This window comes from Homo sapiens, chromosome 18 (genome assembly GCF_000001405.40).
Source record: "Homo sapiens chromosome 18, GRCh38.p14 Primary Assembly".
In the NCBI taxonomy this organism is placed as follows: Eukaryota; Metazoa; Chordata; class Mammalia; order Primates; family Hominidae; genus Homo; species Homo sapiens.
Window position 1 is genome coordinate 80,164,204 of NC_000018.10, and position 24,086 is coordinate 80,188,289.

The 24,086-nt window shown below is 51.2% G+C and overlaps 1 protein-coding gene and 2 long non-coding RNA genes across 4 annotated transcripts in view; 1 reads left to right on the plus strand and 2 right to left on the minus strand.

Moving 5' to 3' along the window:
- The window catches only part of PARD6G-AS1 (PARD6G antisense RNA 1), a 30,509-nt gene extending 16,280 nt beyond the window's left edge, over positions 1-14,229 (plus strand). The window contains exons 2-3 of one of the 2 annotated variants that reach the window (NR_028340.1): positions 11,677-11,732; positions 13,883-14,229. This is a non-coding gene — a long non-coding RNA (PARD6G antisense RNA 1). Of the gene's footprint in view, positions 1-4,615; positions 7,531-11,676; positions 11,733-13,882 lie in introns of those variants that run through there. The other variant, NR_028339.1, reaches the window with a different exon arrangement.
- PARD6G (par-6 family cell polarity regulator gamma) overlaps positions 1-24,086 on the minus strand; it is a 90,283-nt gene that overhangs the window by 6,972 nt on the left and 59,225 nt on the right. The window lies entirely within an intron of this gene.
- On the minus strand, positions 14,770-19,234 carry LOC124904337 (uncharacterized). Its single transcript, XR_007066430.1, has 3 exons — positions 19,095-19,234; positions 15,975-18,947; positions 14,770-15,858 (listed from the first exon to the last, which is right to left on the minus strand). It is a non-coding gene; the product is annotated as an uncharacterized LOC124904337 (long non-coding RNA).

Consider the following 24,086-nt stretch of genomic DNA (forward strand, 5'->3'; position numbering starts at 1 on the left):
CAGAGAGACTAAGCAGGGAGTGAGGACCTGGCCTTTGTATTTTGTCCATGGGCCCCACAGTCTTGAGTGGGCCTCTCCTCCCTCAAAACACTTAGGGGCCATCCTAACAGCCCCTCCTCCTGGCCAAGTCCCAACTACTGCAAATCCCTCCCCTGCACTCCAAACCCTCCAACCTGTGAGGGGCGTTGCCTCTGTGATGTGCTCTCCATGTGTCTAAAAGGCTCCAGCTTTTAACTTTCATGGTTGGGTGTTTCCACCGGGTCCACACTGCTCTTCACGTCACAACTGAATGTCATGCCCATAGTAAGAGGATGAAACTGGGGGGTCCTGGGCCTTCAAGGACTTGAGCAGAGGGGAGCCTTGTTTACCCACCTAACAATAATGTAAAATATAATCCTAGCCAACCTCAAATTAAACCTTTTGAAGATATGTAATGGGGGAACCTGCCCCCAATATTTCAACGTAGGTTCTATTTTCCATAAATGTCAGCCAGCTGAGCAAGAGAAAGAGTACAAAGAGAGGAATTTTACAGCTGGGCCACCAGGGATGACATCACCTATCGGTAGGTCCGTGATGCCCACCTGAGCCTCAAACCAGCAGGTTTTTTATTAAGGGTGTCAAAACGGGAGGGGGTGTAAAACAGGGAGTGGGTACAAAGATCACATGCTTCAAAAGGCAAAAAGCAGACGTACTAATAACGGTCTAACAAAGATCACATGCTTCTGAGGGAACAGGACAAAAGGAAAAAGCGGAACCACTGATAAGCATCCAACAAACACAAGGCAAAGGGCAAAAGCAGAACCACTGATAAGGGTCTATGTTCAGCAGTGCACATATTGTCTTGATAAACATCTTCAACAACAGAAAACAGGGTTCGAGAGCAGAGAACCGGTCTGACCACAAATTTACCAGGGCAGAGTTTCTCCCCACCCTAGTAAGCCTGAAGGTTCTGCAGGAGACCAGGGCGTATCTCAGTCCTTATCTCAATCACATAAGACAGACATTCCCAGAGTGGCCATTTATAGACCTCCCCTAGGAATGCATTCCTTTCCCAGGGTATTAATATTAATATTCCTTGCTAAGAAAAGAATTTAGTGATCTCTCTCCTACTTCCATGTCCATTTATAGGCTCTCTGCAAGAAGAAAAATATGGCTCTTTTTGCCTGACCCTGCAGACAGACCTTATGGTTGTCTTCCCTTGTTCCCTAAAAATCACTGTTATTCTGTTCTTTTTCAAGGTGCACTGATTTCATATTGTTCAAACACATGTTTTACAATTTGTACAGTTAACAAAATTATCACAGTGGTCCTGAGGTGACGTATATCCTCAGCTTACGAAGATAACAGGATTAAGAGATTAAAGACAGGCATAAGAAATTATAAAAGTATTATTTGGGAACTGATAAATGTCCATGAAATCTTCACAATTTATGTTCCTCTGCTGTGGCTCCAGCCAGTCCCTCCATTCAGGGTCCCTGACTTCCCGCAATGGATATGTCTTTGCCTCTAAAATTTTAGTAAAGGTTTGTTTTGAAAAAACATGGTGTTGAACTGTTAACCTCCAGGAAGTTGCCAGAAAACATAATTTATCATTTCCACTGGGTGCGCTGGCTCACACCTGTAATCCCAGCACTTTGGAAGGCCAAGGTGGGTGGATCACCTGAGGTCAGGAGTTCAAAACCAGCCTGACCAACATGGTGAAACCCTGTCTCTATTAAAAATACAAAAATTAGCTGGGCGTTGTGGCATCCACCTGTAATCCCAGCTAGTAGGGAGACTGAGGCAGCAGAATCGCTTCCAGACAGCGGAGGCTGCAGTGAGCTGAGATCGTGCCATTGCACTCCAGCCTGGGCAAGAAGAGCAAAACTCCATCTCAAAAAAAAAAATTATCATTTCCGCTTATTTCCTAACATAGCTACCACTTTGTCACCATTTGGACCTGTAAACAAATGTGACTGTTCCCTTGTATTTTTCCTTCTGAGATGAAGGCAGTCATGTCAGCGGCACACAGCCTCAGCTCATGGACACCGTATGGTCAGGTCGGCACCAACACAGCACACCACCCCAATCATGAGTGTGTTCCTCCTCTCTGCCGCACCCCAAGCAGAACAAAGGCCCAGATGCAGGGCTGCAAGTGTCTCTCTCAGCAGCCCCACTGCATTCTGCTAAGCAGGCGACACAGTCTGGGGCACGTGTGCCATGGCAGACACTGCTGGTGTGACCCTCGGTCATGGGGGCATCAGGACGCCTTGTCTCAGTGGAAAATCTCCACCTCCCTTAGAATTTAAAGGCGTCAAGTTCATTGAAAGCGATCAGTTACAGCCTCCTCCATGGTCAGATCTAGTTGCCCCAAACACAACAGCTCCGTGGCAGCTTTTTTACAGCAGCATTTTCAAGTTTCTGGTAAATGTCCTCTGTAGAGAGCGTCAGACAAGCAGGGGAGGTACGTGCCCCTTTCATCCTGTCCTGGCTCCTTACATCCTCAGAGCACGAGACAGTCCACAGGGTCCTCACTCCCCATGTCCACCTTCCCGGGGAACTTCAGGGGAGTGCATAGCCCTCCCTGCAGACCAGGAAGGTCTGGTCCTCCCCCGACCATAAGGGGGCTGTTCTCACAGAAGTCCCTTCAGGGCCCCTTCTCCACACCACAGCCACCTCTTTTGGGGCCCCACAACTGCAAACACTTGAGGATCCAACAAACCAGAGCCCCCTTTGATCTCAGTCGTGCTGGCCAGACCCTAACATCCCATGCTGACCCCTCTGGCCTTGGCCCTGTGCTCCAAGGGAGTTTCAGCGCATCTAAAGGTGCAGGGCTCCGTGTGTCACCGTATGGAATAATTACCACTTTTCAGGGCAAGACAATGGCCAATCAAAACAGTGACAGTTCACAATTACAAGTGACACCCATTGGGCCTCACAGGTCACATCCCTGCTGTGGGTCCTCTGTTGTGGTTCCTGCCTGAGAGCATCATGTTGCGTGTGGACGTGTGTGCAGGATAACACGTGGGCAGTGTTGTGTGTGGACCTGTGTGCCGGATAACACATGGGCAGTGTTGCGTGTGGACGTGTTGCAGGATAACACATGGGCAGTGTTGTGTGTGGACCCGTGTGCAGGATAACACATGGGCAGTGTTGCGTGTGGATGTGTGTGCAGGATAACACATGGGCAGTGCTGAGGACAGGGCACGGCTCTTCATGCAGCAGCTCACTCAGGGCAGCAAGCTTGGAGCAGGTACTCCTGGGGACAGGGACACAGGCTCAGGGATTCAGGGCCCCGGAATGGCCTGGACAGGGAAGGTCTTTTGTGTAACCCCCATGACAGGCAAGGCAGCAGCAACGCTCCACCATGTTTCCAGACAGACTTGGGGTCCTGGGAGGAGGCGCTGCAGAGGGTGGAGCTGGGGCCATGAGATGTACCCAGGCCTGTCCTCTCTTCCTCCCCCAGCGTCTCTGATGCTCTGAGCCACGTAGGGAGGACGACCATGGGAACATGGCCTAAGATGAACGCCCAGGGGATTTCTGAGCAGCAGGGAGTGTATCCCCTCATGGTGCAGCACCTCTCAGCAGCAGGCACACAGACCACCCTGTACAAAGGCAGGTTCTGAACCCCTGGGCCTGGGGTGCAGCTCAAGGACACTCAGGTGAGGTTGATGCCATGGGTTCATAAACTAATTCTGAATGACAGGAGGTTGATGAGCTAAGTAATGTCTACCACTGTCAAATGGCTGTGTAAGCTGAAAGATGAACACGTTCATAGGCAGGGGGCAAAAGAGCCAGTGGCTCCGTGGAGGAAACGGGCCGACACCCCACTTGGAGGAGGGCCAGCAAGTGCATGCGACTCTGGTTCTTCCTGAACTCTTGAAGAGATGGGCCGGCCGTGGTCTGCACCCTGAACCCCCTCCCCAGCATCCAAGGGCCCAGGGTGCGTTTGGTGCCAACCACCCCGCCTGCTTCCAGTGAGCTGCAGCTCAGGTGAGAGAACACACAACCTCAGCCTGTCTGCAGTGGGAGGTGCAGGAAGTACTGCCCGCATGCAGCTGCGGTGGTATGGGGACGAGGTGACTGAATTTCAGACAACAATCCGTTTCTCCATCTCTTTAAATATGAACCCTTGCATATGGACTTCATTAGTGAAAAATTCCAAACTTTCTTAGAAATAAAATTTGTTTTAAAGAATACCCCATTTCTAAAATTCCAACTTTGATTTCTAAAATACCTTTTTACAAGAAAAAAATTGTCACTGCTTCTTTTTCAAGCAATATGTTAAATCTGGTATTTTCCACAAAGTAAACAATTCAAGGAGTCACATTTTTTAGGCAACTGTCTAACCACCCTCTCTCCCCATATCCTGTTTTCAGTCAAATTATGTTTGTGTGTGTGTGTGTGTGTGTGTGTGTGTGTGTGTATGTATATGTATAAACTTTTTTTTTTTTGGAGACAGTCTCGCTCTGTCACCCAGGCTGGAGTGCAATGGCACAATCTCGGCTCACTACAGCCTCCACCTCCCAGCAATTCTCATGCTTCAGCCTCCTGAGTAGCTGGGATTACAGATGTGAACCACCACACCCAGCCGTCAAATTAAATTATATTTTCTTCTTCCATTTCTATTTTGAAGTATCCGTAACAAGAGGGGAAATTGAAGTCTGGTCCTATGAAGCTCTCACGGTTACAAGTTTTCAAACTAAAGATTTTCTAAGAAATATTTTCTTACAAATAACCCCTTCTGTTACATAAGGGCTTGACCTGATTTATTAAAACTATCCTGACTCTCTGGCGAGGAAGGGTGGGAACTGCTGAAGGTGCCTCTTCCAAAGGTTTCCAGGGTCCTTCTCTCGGATGGAGCCTGTCCAACTGCACTCTGGGGAAGGGAGAGAAACAGGAAGGCGTCGCCTTCACGCTCCGGTCACTCAGGAAGGTGGCTGTGCATGCCTGAGAGCTTGCACCGGGGTGGAGGTAGCCACGGTCCCGAGACACGCCCTCTGCCCACACCTCCCTACCAGCCTGGCCAGACGCCTGGGGTGCCCAGTCGTCTTCATGGTGGCAGCTGCAGAAGTAATGACAACTCATGGGCATTTGGAGAACGCACCAGGCCCACGCTCAACATTGCATTTGATTCCTGCGAGCGCTCAACAAGGGAAGCACCAGACAGATGCTGAAATTTAGGCATGGCAGCACTGCTTTGCCTCCCTTGGCAGCACAGGGCTGCAGAAGGACTCAGAATTGCGGGGAACCCTCTGCCTCAAGGCGCTCCACCAGGACACAGACACCCCCTCAGCGGCCCCTCTGCTTTTTCTTCAGAATCTGATACATCTGGCCTGGACGGGAGATGGTGCCCTCGGGCGCCAGAGTGTGGGGTCCTCTTCACAGCCACTCCCACCCCAATTCCTGATCTTCCGAGTTTCCTGGCTCACAGTGTTCCTTGTTCTCAAACCGCTCGCTTCACTGCTTCCGATTCAACTTCATTACCTAAAGTGAGAGATACAGCTTCTTTCTTTCCCTCTCAGGATCAATGACTCGGTTTTAGGTCACCATGGAGAGGGGATTCAGAGCTCACGCATCCGCCACACTTGATTTCAGGAGATGAGTGGCTGCGAGTCACCCTGCTGTGAGCCGCCATGGTCCCCTGGTGAATTGCCCAGGCCAAACGCCATGGCCTCACCTGCTCACGGGCAAAGCAGCTGCCAGCTTAAATGGTAAGAAATTAGTAAAGGAAGGAAGGAAGGAGGGAAGAAGCCGGAAGGGAGAGCACGTCTCCGTCCCTCGATGACGGCATCAGGACACACCACGTCGGAGACTTCAGCTGCCAGATGAGCACGGCCTATTAGGGCCTCGTCCGGTCCCCGCTTATCCAAGGGTGGTTAAGACCAAATTCCTTCCCCATAATTAAACAGCATGTAGACACATACAAAAATACCGCAGAAGAACTACACCACTGGGTCAAAACACATGCCAGAACAATATTTCATTTTAAAAGACAACATAAATGTCAACATTTAAAAAGCCTGCCACATAAGGTGAAAAACAAAACCTGTTGTGTACTGACTAGTCTCAGAACTCCTTGGCAGTTTTATCTTTTCCAGAAAACTCTGTCTTCAAACCCCAAGACCTGTCTCCTTGTGGCATCCTCCACAGGCTTGGTCTACAGCATGCATCCTCAGGGGATTCTTCCAGGCTTACCTGGCCACGATCCCCAGCACAGAACAGCTCAAGATCACCGTCTACCCCCATCTGCCAGAGCAAATCTATTTTCCACCAAGAGCAGGACTGTCGGCTGTCAGTCACCAAGGACACCCAGGTTGATAGTTGGAGGCGACCAGCACATTCTGATGAAGTAGGTGATGGTGCCTGCCCCAGGACCTGTGTGCACTGCAACAGGCAGCCTGCAGGGCGTGTGCCAGAGGCCAGGGCCTGAGCAACAGACACAGCGCTGCCCAGTGGGCCCTGCACCCTTGCAGTGAGGGGCAGCCTCAACCAACGAAAACACCACACACTAAGTCCTAGTTTCCATCTAAGAAGTGTTTTCTGGAACTTTAAGCAACATTTTATTTCCACAGATGTGGGGAAAAGGGAACCCTATGGTGCATAATTATTAACTTACTTTAGGGTCCTGTTTCTGGACTCAGTGGACTCAAGTGTAGCCAGGTCCAATCTGTGCACTTGCCTCTGGAATGTTCTGCCAACACCCTTTCCCCAGTTTTGCTGGGGAAGGCTGCAGGCAAGGAGAGGAGGCTATTCCTGGCCCTGACCCAGGAGGAGAGACGGGAAAGGAATGAGCAGACTTGAGCTTAAATTTTCATTGGAAGTATTTAAGAAACACCTCATGTTGGTCCTGGTTCTCTATTATTTCTCTCTATTAAAAATACCACCCCAAGTAATCTGTACTCACTATAGAAAAACTGGAAGTAAAAGTAATAATTAAAAAAATCCCTGAAGCCATAACTCACTCTTCTATTACTATAGTCAGCATTTGCTGTGCCTCGTCCAACAAGCTGGGGTCGCCTCAGGAAAGAAGACTCTACCGTGCCCACTGCCCTCCCTCCAAGTCCTCCTCCTGTGGCGTCCCTCGTCGGGTAGTGCTGCCTTTTGGGAAGTCACTCTGGGTGGGGGTCTCCACCCTCCTGGGAAGTCTCCGGAACAGAAAGCAGGAGACACCGGCGCATCCAGGCCCCATCCCTCCCCGAATTCACGGGCAGCCAGCAGGGGGCGCCACAGCAGCGCAGCAACAGGCACCCGGTTGCCGGCATCACCGGCCCACGCTCGTTCCCTGTGCATTTTGTTTAAAATTTTTGAGAGAAAATTTACATAACATAAAATTAACCATTTTAAAGTGTACAACTCAGTAGCTTTAGCGTGTTCACAATAGAGTGGAACCATTACCGCTAATTACAGCACATTTCCATCACCCTAAAAGAAAAAGTCCGTTTCTCCCAATGCCTTCCTCTCCTCAGCCCCACACCCATTAATCTACTTTCTGTCTCTGTGGATTTTCCTGCCCTGGACACTTCATATAAATGGAATCTTACAACACGTGGCCTGTGTCTGGCTTTCTTTCACTTAGCATCATGTGTTCAAGGTCATCCACATTGTATAAGGAGTTCAGTATTCCATTGTGTTGATATACCACATTTATTCATCCATTAATTTAATTTGGGTTGTTTCTAGTTTCGGGCTATTGTGAATAATGCTGTTGTGAACACTTATGTACATCTGATACGTGTTATATCAAATGTTCATTTGAAAAGGGGGAAGAACGATAGCGTGTTTCTCTTTTGGTTTGGATGTTCAGTCTGGGCTTTCCAGAGACGCAGAACCAAGTTTTTGTGTGGACACGTTTTCCCTTCTGCTGGATATACACCTAGGGGTGGAATTACTGCTCATATGTCTAACTGTTTGAGGAACTGCCAGACTGTTTTCTACAGCGGTTGAAACATTTTCTATTCCCCCCAGCAGTTCTGAGGGTTACGATTTCTCCACATTCTTGACAATACTTGTTTCTGTCTGTCATTATCAGCCATCACAGTGGGTGTGAAGCGGTGTCTCACTGTGGTTTGCATTTCCCTGATGACTGGTGATGCTAAGCATCTTTTCATGTGCTTATTGGCCACTTGAATATCTTTTTTGGAGAGATGTCTATTCAGATCCTTTGCCCATTTTCAACTGGGTTGGGTTGTATGTCTTTTTTTTTTTTTTTTTGAGACAGAGTTTCAGTCTGTTGCCCGAGCTGGAATGCAGTGAGGTGATCTCAGCTCACTGCAACCTCTGCCTCCCAGGCTCAGGCCATTTCTGAGGCTGAGTGCCTCAACCTCCCAAGTAGTTGGAATTACAGGTGCCCACTACCGTGCCTGGCTAATTTTTGCATTTTTAGCAGAGACGGTTTTGCCAGGTTGGCCAGGCTGGTCTTGAACTCCTGACCTCAAGTGATCTGCCTGCCTCGTTCTCCCAAAGTGCTGGGATTACAGACATGCACCACCATGCCCAGCTGGGTTGTCTTTTCTATTGACGTGAGTATTCTTTACATATTCCGAATAAGAGTCTCTTCTAAGAAACATGACTTACAAATGCTTTTGTCCATTTTGTGAGGGGTTCTGTTTTCTCAATAGCGTCCATTGACGTACAGCAGGTTTTAATTTTGATGAAGTCCAATTTATCTAATTTTTCTTTTTTGCTTGTGCTTTTGTTGTTATATTTAAGAAATCATTGCCTAATGCGAAGTCACATCCCTGTGCCATTCTAAGTAAAGTAGCAAATAACATTATCTGTTGCTCTGGTAAAAACAAGCACACAAAAAACCAGAAACATAAATGTCACCATATGCTTGGACCCAGGCTTATGAGAACATTTCCATCGGCCTTGGAGAAGTGAGCCCTGAATATCAGGCATTATTAGTTGTCTGGAACCAGCATGATGTAAAAATGAACAAACCAACTACCCAATGTAGAAAGTCCTTATTAAGAAATTAAGTACCACCATGTTCAGCCACTAGGTTCCCAACATCATGAGCATGTGATGCACACTAGGAAGCACGTTGCTTGGGGCTATGGAAAAAGTTTGTCGTGGAGGACAAAGACAAGACTCAGAACTACAAGGGCAGGGGTCACAGCTGGATACCAACCCAACCTGCTTGGAAAGGGGCAAACGCGGCCGTGCACGGTGGCTCACGTCTGTAATCCCAGAACTTTGGGAGGCCGAAGTGAGTGGATCATTTGAGGTCAGGCGTTTGAGAGCAGCTCGGCCAACATGGTGAGACCTCATCTCTACTAAAAATGCAAAAATTAGCCAGGCATGGTGGCGAGCGCCTGTAATCCCAGCTACTCGGGAGGCTGAGGGAGGAAAATCGCTTGAACCCAGGAGGCGGAGGTTGCAGTGAGCCGAGATTGTGCCACTGCACTCCAATCTAGGTGTCAGAGCAAGACTTCATCTAAAAAAAAAAGGGGGCAAACCCTGGGGAGACCCCACCTGGGAAGGGGAAGAAGGCAAACACTGATGCTTTTTTCTGTTAAATGAATTTCTTCAAACAATGGCTCTTTCCTAAAAACCCCTCAAAGTAAAAATAAAGCGAACCCAGACACACTTTTCTCTGCCAAAAGGAAATGGTGTCTCAGCTGGAGGTGGCTCTGGAGCTGCTCCCCAGCAAGTTTGCTCAGCCTCCTTCAAAGCGCATGGCTACTGCCTCACAGAAGCCACTGAGTTATTAGTCCTGGGGCAGTTTCCAGGTCACAACAGGTCACTAATGCCCGAATTGCCTTGGCTTTGTGGCTTCAGGATACAGGGAAAGGCATTCAGTCTGTAGAGTTAGGGAAGCTTTGCCCTATCCCAGAGCCACCGCCCACTGCCTGGACCAGTGCTGAGCCCAGTGTTGACATCTATAAAATGGGATGTACCACCCTCACTCCACAGGGCTCCTGTAAAACCCCAAGGCTGTGCCTAGAGCCCTCACCTTTTGTGCTGCAGCAAGTTCACAGCCAAGCCTGTTCTTTCCAGGCCCTGTATCCTCTCCAGGTCCACGAACCAAGGGCTGACGTGGAGGCTGAACTCCCACCTCCTCAGGAAAGTCCCAGAGGCTCCATAAAACCTTCCCACCTATTTCCTCCTTGGTCTTCCCAGACCTTGAGGCCAATGACGACTTCCTTTGACAGAGAGGGGAACTGAGGCTGGAGGCCGCTAGGTGACAGCAGGGTGATCGACAACTCCTGGGCTCAAGCAATCCTCTCACCTCAGCCTCCCAAAGTGCTGGGATTACAGGCATGAACCACCGCACCTGCCCACAAGTGCTTTTAATCACGTTTTCCACTATGTCCACCTGGAAGAACTCAGTGCACTGAGAAAAGACTCATGGATGCAGCCCACATTTAGTTCACACTCAGGGGTAACAGCATTATCCAGGAGCTCCGACTCCAGCACTGGGTGATGCAGGAGGATAACCTCCCAAAACCCATGCCCCTTTGCCAAAGTAAAAAATGTTCATTGTAGGCTGGGTGCGGTGGCTCACGCCTGTAATCCCAGCACTTTGGGAGGCCGAGGCGGGCGGATCACGAGGTCAGGAGATCGAGACCATCCTGGCTAACACGGTGAAACCCCGTCTCTACTAAAAATACAAAAAATTAGCCGGGCTTGGTGGCGGGCGCCTGTAGTCCCAGCTACTCGAGAGGCTGAGGCAGGAGAATGGCGTGAACCCGGGAGGCGGAGAGTGAGCCGAGATTGTACCACTGCACTCCAGCCTGGGCGACAGAGCCAGACTCCATCTCAAAAAATAAAAAAAAAAATGTCCATTGTAAAAAAACATGATCTCTCATGCATTTGTCTGTTCATTCCTAACCAATGCTCAGGGAGAGCACCCAACAGAGGCCAGGCTGGGATCAGAAGACTAAACAGACTGGAGAAAATGGATTAAACAAAGCAGAAAGAAAATGCCCCATAATCCTTCTTCCTAACAGTCTAGTACACACTTCCCCAGACTATTTAGTGCAACTAACACATGCTAGATGGGAAACACATAACACTTTAATAATTGTTTTGCTGCAGAAGTGTGAACATAATGTGTGTCTTAGCTCCAGCGGCCATAACAAAATACCACAGATGGTGCAGCTTAAACTATGCACATTTATTTCTAACAGTTCTGGAGGCTGGAAAGTCCCATATCAAGGTCCGGCTTGTAACAGTTTCTGGGGAGGGCTCTCTTCCCGGCTTACAGACAGCTGCCTTCTTCCTGTATCCCCACGTGGCAGGGAGACCGAGATCTCTGGTGCCTCCTCCTCTGCTTACGACACAGTCTGATTAGGTCAGGGCTTCGTCCTTACGATCTTATTTAACCTTCATCACCCCCTAAAGACACTGTCTCCAGATACAGTCAGACTGAGGGCTAGGACTTCGACATCAGAACCTGGGGTGACGTATCGATTCAGTGCACTACGCACACTGTTCCGTAATTGTTCTCTTGCTGAGTGTATCTGAGTCACGTTCTCTGTCAGGGCACAACCCTCGTTCCACCACCGCAGGGACATTAGGTGTTTGGGCTTTTGCCAAATGTTCACCATCACAAAAAAACACCACAGCGAACAACCACACAGACCCGCCACTGAGCAGCTGGGGTGGCCACTTCCTGGATGCACGACTGCTGTGTTTTGTGTTATGTTTTCTGAGAGACACCCTCAGGCTTGTTTCTCTGAAATTCTGCAGGTGGTACCTCTAAATCCAAAAACTCCAAATGTCCACCAGCTCCAGTCACATTGGAGGTGAGTGCCTGCTGGGATGTCATGCTGGTAAGAGTGTGGCAAGTTCTGAGGGGCTTCCTGAGGAGGTGGCTTCCAAAAGGGAGAAGAGGCTGGCTGTACCCGGAGGGTCTGTGGGAGGTGACCCAGAGGTGGAGGAGGAGAGAGCTCCTAGAGCCAGGATGAAGACAGAAAAGCGGGGGTGGGGGGCAACTGATACGTCTTGAAACACAAATTCACATTTTTTCCTGGAAAGTATCCGTGGTATAGAGAAGCACATTAAAGAGGAGGGAACAACATTATAAAGTAGGAATTGGAGCAGATAACTTGATCAGGTTTAAAGTACACACATGTGCTTTTAATCAAGTTTTTCCTTGTGTCTCTACCTGAAAGAGCTCAACCCACTAAGAAAAGACTGATGGATACATCCCACGTTTACTTTACACTCAGAACATATACCTGTTTTTCAAAGCCAGTACCTCTTTATTTCAACTCCAGACCTAATGCCCAAGTAAATGCCAACTTACAATGTATACTTCCTACTCCCTTCAACATTAAAAACAGAACAAAGGCCCGAGAGCCACCACACAGCAGCTGGTCCTGAGTCTCAGCTCCCACTCAGGTCTCAGCCTCAAGAGAAAGGCAGGCAACAGTTAATGTTGGCCAGGGTGGGGAGAAGGGCTGCAGCTTGCTATGGAAGGGGGTGCAGGCAAACATTTCTGTGCGGGACTGGAAGGGAAATATGGGAAAGAATAAAAGTACAAGTCAGCCTTGAAGAAAGCCTCCCCCCTCATTGCCTGCTGTGGAGAAGGCCGAGCTCCCGACAGGGCAAACAGCTCACTAAAGTGGAAAAATGCTCCTCCCTGGTGCCGCGGCGGCCACAGGCAAAACATGATCTATGTAAACAGCCCTTCACGATCCTTAGAAAACAAACAGGATACACACACATGCACGGGATAAGTCACAGTCCAGATGGGAAGCACGCACACACACATACACACACAGGATAAATCACAGTCCAGATGGGAAGCATGCATGCACACACACACAGGCATGTGCACACACACACAGGATAAATCACAGCCCAAAAGAGAAGCACGTGCGCGCGCGCGTGCACACACACACACACACACACACCACAGTATAAATCACAGCCCAAATGGAAAGCGCGCACACACACACACACGGGATAAATCACAGCCCAAATGGGAAGCACACACACACACACCACAGTATAAATCACAGCCTAAATGGGAAACACACATACACACACACCACAGTATAAATCACAGCCTAAATGGGAAGCGCACACACACACACACACACACACACACAGTACAAATCACAGCCCAAATGGGAAGCACACACACGCACACACGCACACACACACGGGATAAATCACAGCCCAAATGGGAAGCGCACACACACACATACACACACATACACATGTACACACACACACACACACAGGATAAATAGCCCAAATGGGAAGCATACACACACATACACGCAAACACGCACACACAGGATAAACCACAGTCCAAATGGGAAGCACACACACACATGCACAGGGGATAAATAATCCAAATGGGAAGCACACATGCATACGTGCACACACATGCACGCGGGCACACACACACAGGATAAATCACAGCCCAAATGGAAAGCGCACACACACATGCATACACACAAACACACAGACACACAGAATAAATCAAAGTCCAAATGGGAAGCACACACATGCATGCATGCACACACACACAGGATAAATAGCCGAAATGGGAAGCATACACACATATACACGCAAACACGCACACAGGATAAATCACAGTCCAAATGGGAAGCACACGCACCCACGAGATAAATCAATGCCCAAATGGGAAGCACACACACACATACATACATGCAAACACACACAGGAAAAATCGCAGTCCAAACGGGAAGCACACACATGTGCACACACACCCACCACACATGCATGAAATAAATCGCAGTCCAAATGGGAAGCTCACACACACACATGCACAAGATAATCACAGTCCAAATGGGAAGCGTGTGCATACACACACACACACACACACACACACACACAGAGGCATGGGATAATCATGGTCCAGCAAGACCACATATTGTCTTAGACAAGAAACTTTCTTTTCTGTGCTTGATTCTTGCAGATACAGCTGTGGTTTGCTCCTAAGACCCACCCAGCACACGTGAGATGGGGAGACCTGGATTGCATCCCCATGTCTGTCCCAGTGGAGATATCATTGGAAAAGCTGCAGTGATCTCTATAAAAATCTCAACCACCCGCTCCCAGTAGGTTCAGTGCTGCACTCTAAGAGGAGAACAGGTCTGACTCCTCAAGGAGATGCCTCTGGTCCAGGCTTTGTAAACTTGGGCCTTCCAGCCAGATTCCTCCGAGCTCAGTGTCCGCTGCTGCTGGGCTGAGGGGAACCCCACTCCTTCACCACCGACTCCTGCTCCTGGCTGCACCTGCCCTTCCAACAGTGTCTCCTCTCAAGAAAGGGAGAATCCTCCAGCCTTCTGTGCCTGCATGCTGAGAACCCATAGAGAGGAGCATCCCTGGAGAATCCCAGCTTGCAGCCATCTTCCCTCAAGCGCATTTCCAGTGTCCAGCCTGGCTTTCTGATCATTTTTGCTTTAGGAAGGCCTCCGACCATGGCACTTTGGTAAAACCATGTCCCAGCCCCCAGTCTCCCTAGCAACGCCGACTCTCACCCCAGATGGTTCCTGCCAGGATGGGAGGGTGGAGCTCACAGAGTTTGAAGGAGTGCCACCTTCACATGGCACAAGTGTCTTTACAGAACACATGAGGCAGAAAACAGACGTCCACGAATCTGGGCAGATGGACACATGCCGACAGCATGGCAAGGTCCCCTCCTTTGCCCTGCCCCATCACTTCCTCCCATGTGTAGGAGCAGGTCCACCCAAAACAGTGTGAAGGTGTCAAGCCAGTAGCTCCTCTTCTGGGGAGGGAGTGAGGAAGGAAGAGCAGGAGACAGGCAGAAGAACTCACTGGGCGGGTGGCGACCTGCAGGGAGACAGAGAAGGACACGCCAGAGCCCAGGGAGAGCACTAACCACCACTGACAGTTTCCCATTTCATATATTTTTTCCGAGGCCACGAAGAGGAGGAGCCTGTCACAAAGCGCCAGTGGGAACTCACTGCCCCCGACACCTCCCGACGCATCAGCTGGTGAGCACCAGAAGCCGGCCCAGTGCCCACAGCCAAGCCCACGTGGTGTGGCCCACAGCACCTTCACAGGAAGGGCCTGAGGGTTGGCTGCAGTCATTTTTTTTTTTTTTTTCAAACTGGAGGGGAACGTTTTTCCTTGGTAAACCCCCGGCGCTGAAGTCACTCAGGTGAGCCTCGGTGAAGAAGCCTCAGACGCTCAGCAAGGCCCAGGGAGGATGAGCTCATCTCTGGAGGCCAAGCTCACATGCCCTAGACTGCAGCAACATGCCCTCCCGCCCACGCCCGCTCCCTTGCCAGGGTGTGTCCTGCCCTCAGCGGGCCACTGGCCCCCAAATCCACCACAGAAGGCCAACAGGACAGGGGAGTCCCAGTGACATGCCACTGCCTCCCCCCACCCAGGAGGCTTGCTTTAGGGTCCCCTGCTGCCCTGGGCCCACGTTAAATCAGCTGTTCCATGCAAAGACTTGCAGAGCCAAGAGGAGAGGTGCAGGCGAGTTGTTAGGAGCATGAGTTTCACAACGGTGTGGTCTCACTGCTGCCCCTGGCCACTGCCTGTGCCTTCCGGGCAGCGACTGCACCTCCTCCTCAGTTAACAAGCACAGTGGCGGATGCCCATGCCATGGGTTCCGTGCACGGCGGTCACCATCACCACACGGAGTCCAAGAGCAAGAACTCTGCCAAGACACTGTTATTATCAAAAGCAAATGGTTTGGGTAATGCAAAATCCAAAACGATCCTGAAGTTTATATTTTGGTTAGGAATGCAATGGCCAGAGAATTGAAGCCACATGAAGGTGCCATGAGCGTGCTGCCTGGCCCATCTCAGAGGGGCACCCAGCTGCCAAGAGCTGTGCCGTAGCTGGTCTCACCTCTGTCTAGGGGGGCAGAGCCTGACGGGAACGCCCCATTGTGCCTCAGAACGAAAGTTCAGTGGTCTGCAGAGAGGAGAGGAAAGGGGAAGCTGAATGTCCCGTGGAAAAGTGGCACAGAGGCCTGGCTGGGTGAACCAGGGCCCGGGACGGGAATGGCCATTGGTGTGTCAGCTGCTCACCTGGGCTTGGGTGTCCAGGTCCTGAGCTCACTCCTGGTGATACACCCTCAGCAGCCCAGGTGGCAGAGGGGACAAGGAGCGCCTGCTACCTGAGGCCTCTGCTTGGGAAGTTCCTGTCAGGAGAGGCAGGCAGGGCGTGGGCAGCGACAGCTGGGGCCGGCAGGTGAGGACACGCAGCTGGGAGGGGCGCAGCCGGCAGCACCTGGGAATGCAGCACTGTGCTCTTCCTGGGGGCTGTGGCCTCACAGAGGCTCCCAGGCTACACTGGAGGAGGCTCTGCTCCATGGTGTACACCCCCCAGGTATCACCGGGGCCCTCCCAGGACCAACCCAGCCGGTGGTCAGGGGTCCTTGCTCTCTGCCGGGCACACTGCGGCCTCTGGGTGTTTTCAGAACGGCAATCACATTCTCAAGCTTAACTGTCTCTATGGCACCGCAAATGGCAGGGCTGCTCCCCACTCCCTGGAGGAAGTGAGCCTGACCCCCAGTTCCTGCCAGTGAGCTTGGCAGAGGCACCACAGGCTCTTGGGTCCCCTCATACAAGCTTTGTCAGGGGGCCGGACGTCCACCTGCAGGCCCAGCCCTTCCTCATCACAACAGAGAGCCCACCACAGGGGACAGCCACAACTTAGCCCCGTGGTTCTGCCCCCAGCAGACATGTGGTGATGTCTGGAGACATTCTAATTGGCACAAGTTGGGGGGAAGCTCCTGGTATCTAGACAGCAGAGGCCGGGGCACCGATAGCTCTCCACATGCAGATGCCCCACAGCAAAGAAATGTCCAGCGCAGAACGTCAGCAGTGCTGAGGGTAAGAACCCGGCCTCACACGCACGTTTCCAGCGGGCTGGAAGGCGGCTCCTACAGTCAGGCTGTTCAAAGGTCTGAACCTCACGCGCGATCTCGACATTAGAACATGGGCTGCGACCGGAGAAGCAGCCTGCGGGGGTGGGCCAGGAAGGGGCGCCACCCTGAAGGCTCAGTCTGTGTGGCAATGACACCCACAGACAAGCCCTGCGTACACTGACCGTAGACTGGTGTGTGCACCAAGCATGCCAGGGACCCCAGGTCACACGCCCCTGGGGGATAGGAGAGGTGGTGTCTGTCCCCTGGTCCCTCAGCCAAGTCAGCCGATGTCCCCAGCTGGGATGTCTGCGGAAGCTGTGGTCCCGATGCCACACACGCCAAGGCAGGCATCACGCTCTGGGCACCGGGGGACCCTGCGTGCTTGGGTGCATTGCACACCCAGGTCACCAGGGACACGGTGACATGCCGCTGTGAGCCCTCAAGAAGGCCTCATCTCCATACAGCGCTGCGGCCAGCTGGTGACAGGTCTCAAAGGGAGGGAGCAACCCTACATCTCTGCTTCCAAAGTCCGGTAGGTGTGCCCTTCCCCTAAACTCAGCAGATCGGATCTACCTCCCCTCTCCCAACAAGGAGGGTCTCCTCCCCATCCTCCCTCATCAGCGACTGTGCCCCTGCCTCCTGCTTGGGGAAGAGCTTCTCTCTGCTGCCAACCTGGAGCCTGGCCCTTCCCTCCTTCCTGGCTGGAAGCTGCTTTCAGCTCCTGGCCTTCCTGATGGGCATCGGCTCCCCATTCCTCGCGTCCTCTCCCCCTGTGCAGAGCATGTGTGGGGACAGGCAGCTGGATGAAGCACCTCAGAGATCCACTGCCCAAGGCTGCCCGGTAGACCTGTCCCTGGGAGGGAAGCAGCCCAGCCCCGCTGATAGAACCTGCATTTCAAACAGACCCAGGGCTGCAGCACACAACACGTTTCCAGTGGAGAAGCCCTTTGCAGAGTTCAGAGCTCTCGCAGGCCTCGTGTTCAACTCCTCATCTTGCCACCTGCTTTTGTTACGCAAGAAACTGAGGCAGAAAGCAGGGAAGCAACACAGCTGGGTAGGGCCCAGCAGAGTCTCACCCCAAGCTCCCCAGCTGCTCACCCACAGTGCTCTGGGCCCCTCCCACTTCCACAACTGCGACCTTGTCTTTGACCTTGAACTTCTGTCTCCTCCTCCCAAAATGCCTGTGACCAACTGGGCTGCCTTTGACGAGCTGCTCTGAGGAACAGCAGCCACTTGCCCACTGGCCCCCAGCCCTCCCTGAAGGGTGGCAGCTGATGCCTGTGTGCCTGAAGGCAGCTCCTGCCCCCAGTATCCACAAGGAGGGACAAACTCTCACATGGACAGTGAGGGTGTGACAGGCCCTGAAGAACAGGTTCTGTGTCCACTTTAGATGCTGGAACTACACTTAAAGAGCGACCAGCTTTTACAGATACAAAAATAAACATGTTTGCCTTTGCTTGTTATTGCCAAGGAAGCCATCTTCCCCTGCTTTGACACCTCAACTGTGAATGCATTTCCCATAACATCTGAAAATGTACACTAAAAATCAAGTCACACTTAAAGGTAGTGTTTTTGGCCAATTTGTTCTGAGAACAAATACAAAACTGCATAAAAATAGCTTCCACAGGGAAAAAAGGTGCAAGTCCAACAGACACCCTTTCCAGTCACCTAGACATCACCTGGGTGTTGAAAACCACCTTGAGCCCAAATCCACCTGCACCATTGATTCTCTCGTGTCAGGTGCATCCACGGGGCTTATCAAAGCTCTGTTTTATTCTTTTAAAAATGACAAGTTACTATTTTGGGCAGGACAAATGTTCCCAGAGAACTTTTAAATCTGATGTTATAGTTTTATTTCTTAGTTCTAGGTACAGGGCTAGATGTTTGGCTGAAGCTGCGTGTGCCACAACACTGCAGGCCCCACACCACGCAGCCAGACGCCCCTCCCAGTCCTCCTTCGTCCTGACGTGGCTCCCAGTGGAATGAGATGGCTGGGGTCTCATGAGGGGCCAGCTGCGTGGGCCATCCATTCTCTACCATGGCATGCCGACAACAGGGGCACAGAGAAGTCCCCCTTTCAAACCAAGATTTGAGCTGAAGAGTCAGGTTCCTGGTCGCAGGGCTCCGTCATCTGCAGGAAAATTAGTGAAGAAGTGGAGGGCCTTGCAATGTGAAAGGGTGGGAGAGAGAAAGCCAGAGAGACTTCTGCAAAACAAGCTGCAGATAGGCATGGAGAAGAGCAAAGCCGCATACAGGCATAGTGGAAAAGTACGCTGACCTTCTCAGTGGCTCTAAAACAACAAGCGAAAGACAAAAAACCACCAGCATCCGTCTTCTTCCTTTCCAGCCAGACAACTCTCCCTGGCCCTAATGGGTTTCAGGCAGAGATGGTTTCCTGAGGGCAGCACCAGTCAGAATGGGTGGAGCAGGCCCCAGAGCTTCTAATGGTCCCAGCTGAGTCCCCCAAGGCTCAGCACGTGATCCTGCCGGTCGTACACACAGCCCCAGCTCGAGCACTGTGCGGCCACTCTCTCTCCAAGTACTCTCTGCCCGGGAGCCCACTTCATCCTGCTTCATCAGTCTCTGAAGCTGAGAGAACACCCTTGTTTGTTTCTGCAGACATTCCTTTGCTTCAGCACTCACCGCTCCCCAGACCACAAAGGTGTATGGACTTAGCAAAACCAGTCATAATGATTTTTCTATATCAAAACCAGCCCTAACAATTTTTATACAACTTTTAAATAAAAACAGTGGAAAATACAATAAATAAGTCCTCTAAATAAAGCTGTGGTATGAAGTTTAAATGCCCCAAGTCAGAAGTCAATTGGATGTCTCTGTCTGAGCTGAGAGCACATGACATACAACGAAACCACATGGACAGACACAACCCCGAATGCCAATTCCAGTGTCCTGTGCAGTGATGACCACACTGTTAGAAGCATTTTAACTCTTGTTTTTACAAACTTTCTTTTTACATATATGTTAGCGGTCAAAGAACTCTGTTTTTCTTGGTCCAAACCAGAGGAAATTTATTGTCCAAACCAGACCCACCCCAATGCATTTGCCTCTGATGTGAGAAAGAAACACTAGGGCTTCAACCAGATGAGGGGCGTTTAGGAAAACCCACAGCTGAAGTCACATTCAATGCGGAACACTGGGCACCTCCCCCTAAGGTCAGGAACAAGACGAGGGTGTCCGCTCTTATTCCTTTCAGCCTCGGCACTGATGGTCCTAGGGCAACTCTATGTTGACGCCTCTGAGGAACTGCCGGGCTGCAGTGAATCCAGGTGACCTCACAGAAACTTGTATGTGAGCATTCGCAGCGGCATCATTCACAGTGGCCAGGAGGTGGAAACAACCCCGATGTCCATCAACTGATGAACCAACCGATGAACACAGGGTGACCTGTCCATACAGTGGGGTCTCAGCCACAGAGGGAGCAAGGCCGTGAAACCTGCAGCGGGAGCAAGGCGGTGAAACCCGCAGAGGGAGCAAGGCCGTGAAACCCGCAGCGGGAGCAAGGCAGTGAAACCCTCAGAGGGAGCAAGGCCGTGAAACCCGCAGCGGGAGCGAGGCGCGGAAACAGGCCATGACACGGACGAGCCACACCATGGATGACCCCACGGACACGCCACCAAAGCACCATCATGCTGAGTGACAGAAGCCAGGCACCCAGACCATGCACCGTATGATTCCTTTCACGTGAAATTTCCAGAACAGGGAAATGCAGAGCGACAGAAAGCAGGTTAGAGGTTCCAGGGGCTGGGGGTTGGGGGAATGGGGAGAGACTACTTAACAGGCAGAGACTTGTTTTTGGGGTGGTGAAAATGTTCTAAACTGACTATGGCTGCACAACTCTGTGAACACACTAAAAACACTGGCTTGGACAACCTAAATGGTCGGATGCTGACTTAGGTCTCAATAAAGCTAAAAAATAAGGTGGCTCCTTCCAGCTTTGCGGGAACCTAACTGCTAGTCCCATGAACTTACCCTCCTAGGTGTTGCAACCTTGAATGTCTTTTAAGAGAGAGATTTGTGAGAGAGCCTAATCTTTTCTCTGCTTTTAATCTACTCTCCTTCACCAAATTGGACTAAAATCGACGTTGATGAATTACAATCTGAAAGTCTGTACCTTTCCCATACAGTCTAAGGGGAGTTACCAGCACATCCCTTGCTCTATCCTTGGATAGCAGAATCTGGTGTGATGTGCCTCGCTGGGAGGAGTGGGTCATTCCCTCGAGCATACAGGTGACACACTCACAGGGTCTCTCACATATCCTCAGAAGGTGATTTTTTTTTTTTAAGAGGCGAAGTCTTGCTCTGTTGCCCAGGCTAGCTGTGAACTCCTGGGCTCAAGCCATCCTCCTGCCTCAGCCTTCTGAGTAGCTGGGACTACAGGCATGCTCCACCACACCTGTCTAATTTTTAATGTATTAAGAAGTAATTTTAAAATATTAATGAAATTAACTTTTGTTGCTTTTCTTATCTAGTTAAATTTGGAGCCAACATTACCTGAATGTCACACGACCTAGATGAAATTATTCTAGGCACATGACCAGCAGCCCTGGAACACAAGGGACACGCACATGCTCCCACACCCACACACACATGCACCCTCACACACGCATATACCCTCATATATGCTTGCACACCCTCACACATGCATACACCCTCACACACATGCACCCACACATGCACCCTCACACACGCATATACACTCAGACATGCTCGCACACCCTCACACATGCATATACCCTGACATGCTCGCACACCCTCACACACGCATATACCCTGACATGCTCGCACACCCTCACACACGCATGCACCCACACAGGCACCCTCTCGCATATACTGTCACATATGCTTGCACACCCTCACACACGCACCCACACATGCATACACCCTCACGCGGGCTTGCACACCCTCACGCACGCATGCACCCACACATGCACCCTCACACACGCATATACCCTCAGACATGCTCGCACACCCTCACACACGCATATACCCTGACATGCTCGCACACCCTCACACGCATGCACCCACACAGGCACCCTCACACTCGCATATACAGTCACATATGCTTGCACACCCTCACACGCACCCACACATGCGTATACCCTCACGCGGGCTTGCACACCCTCACGCACGCATGCACCCACACATGCACCCTCACACACGCATATACCCTCACATATGCTTGCACACCCTCACGCATGCATGCATCCTCACACACATGCACCCACACATGCATACACCCTCACAAGGCTCACACACCGTCATGCACACATGCACCCTCACATGCTTGCACACCCTCACATGTGCATGCACCCTCACACATGCTCGCACACCCACACATGCTCGCACACCCTCACACATGCATGCACCCTCACACACGCATATGCCCTCACATATGCTTGCACACCCACACACGCATACACCCTCAAGGCTCGCACACCCTCACATGCACCCTCACACATGCTCGCACACCCTCACACATGCATGCATCCTCACACACGCGCACACCCTCACACACATGCACACACAGCCCTTGCACACCCCCCCAAAGGATGCACACACACATCCCTGTGCACACGTGCACTCATAGCTGCTGCTCTCGATGGGATAACTGAGGGCTACATATAATCACACGTGATACGCAAGCAAGTGCTAATCAGCATTTCGTCTGTAGCTGCTACTCCCCCAGTTTTAAAAGTAACATAAAATTTTACCCTCGGCCCCCAAATCTCCCTGCTAATCAGTATCTTCTCATCTTTTCTGGTCTTCAGAACCACCTTAAGAAATCAAGGAAGGGCTGGGCGGGGTGGCTCACGCCTGTAATCCCAGCACTTTGGGAGGCCGAGGTCGGGAAATCAAGACCATCCTGGCTAACAGGGTGAAACCCCGTCTCTACTAAAAATACAAAGAAATTAGCCGGGCGTGGTGGCGGGCACCTGTAGTCCCAGCTACTCAGGAGGCTGAGGCAGGAGAATGGCGTGAACCCGGGAGGTGGAGCTTGCAGTGAGCCGATTGCGCCACTGCACTCCAGCCTGGGGGACAGAGTAAGACTCTGTCTCAAGAAAAAAAAAAAAAAGAGAAATCAAGGAAGAATCCACTAAGGGTTACTCTAATGGTCTGACACCAGTGGGGCTGCTCCTAAGGACATGGGGCTGCCTGCTCTAACCTGTTCTCTGGCCCTGGAAGGTCAGTGTCCTGCTCTGCCTGGCTGAGGGGATGGCACGCGTGGGTGGGTGCTGTCAGGCTCTGCACAGCTGACTCCCTCCCAGTGAGAAATGTACTTGGAACACTGGGCTTAACTGTTTCTCACATTTTGCTTCAGAGTAGACAGGGCTGTGTCCCTCAGGCTACACACGAGGCGTGTGTGTGAGAAGGATTCTACCCACTGTGGACACATGTAACCATGAGCTTCAGCAAGGGGGACAACGCAGCATCCCCAAAGCAGCCCTCAGTGCGGCTGGGCTGTTCCGGTTAGATTTAGTTGTGAATCATCGCAATTCAGGCATTGTGGGAGGGTCACGAGGAACAAAGGACACCCTAGCCCCTTCCCTCTTGGTGTGAACGGGCCCCCCCATCCACCTCCTGGCTCCCCTGTGTGGTACCCACAGCACCTACTATGGGAGCGGCACCTGTGTTCATTTGTGGGCTCCACCCTGGCCCAGGGATGACCACTGCTGACCTGATGCTTTGCAGGGTCAGGCCCCGTTCGGAGAGATTGCCATGGTTCTGAGAAACGCATCATTTGGTGACTGGTCATCATGCAAACATCCTTGAGCGCACTCACACAACCTGGAGGATGTAGCTCACTGGATGCCCAGGCTACGTGGAGTAGCCCATTGCTCTGGGGCTACACACCCATACATCGTGTTACTGTGCTGAATACACTAGGCAACTGTGATACAATGGTGAGTATCTGTGTATCTAAATACTTCTAAACATAGATAAGGTGCAGAAAAAATAAAATCTTACGGGACTGCTGCATATGTGCTCCATCACTGACTGAAACGCTAAGTGGTGCGCGACCGTGCCCAACGGGAGGTGTTACGTGGCGCGCGACCGTGCTCAATATTAGAAGTAAGATGCCTTGGACACAGTAATATCCCTCTCATTTTACAGTATTTCTATCCCTCCTCAGTCTCTGCTACAGTTAATTAGATACAATTTTGTTTAATTATGTGAACCTTCTTGGGTCCCATGGCTGGCCCCACCCTGGCCTCTCCCTAAGGGCGTGGAGGTGGCCTGATCTCACTGC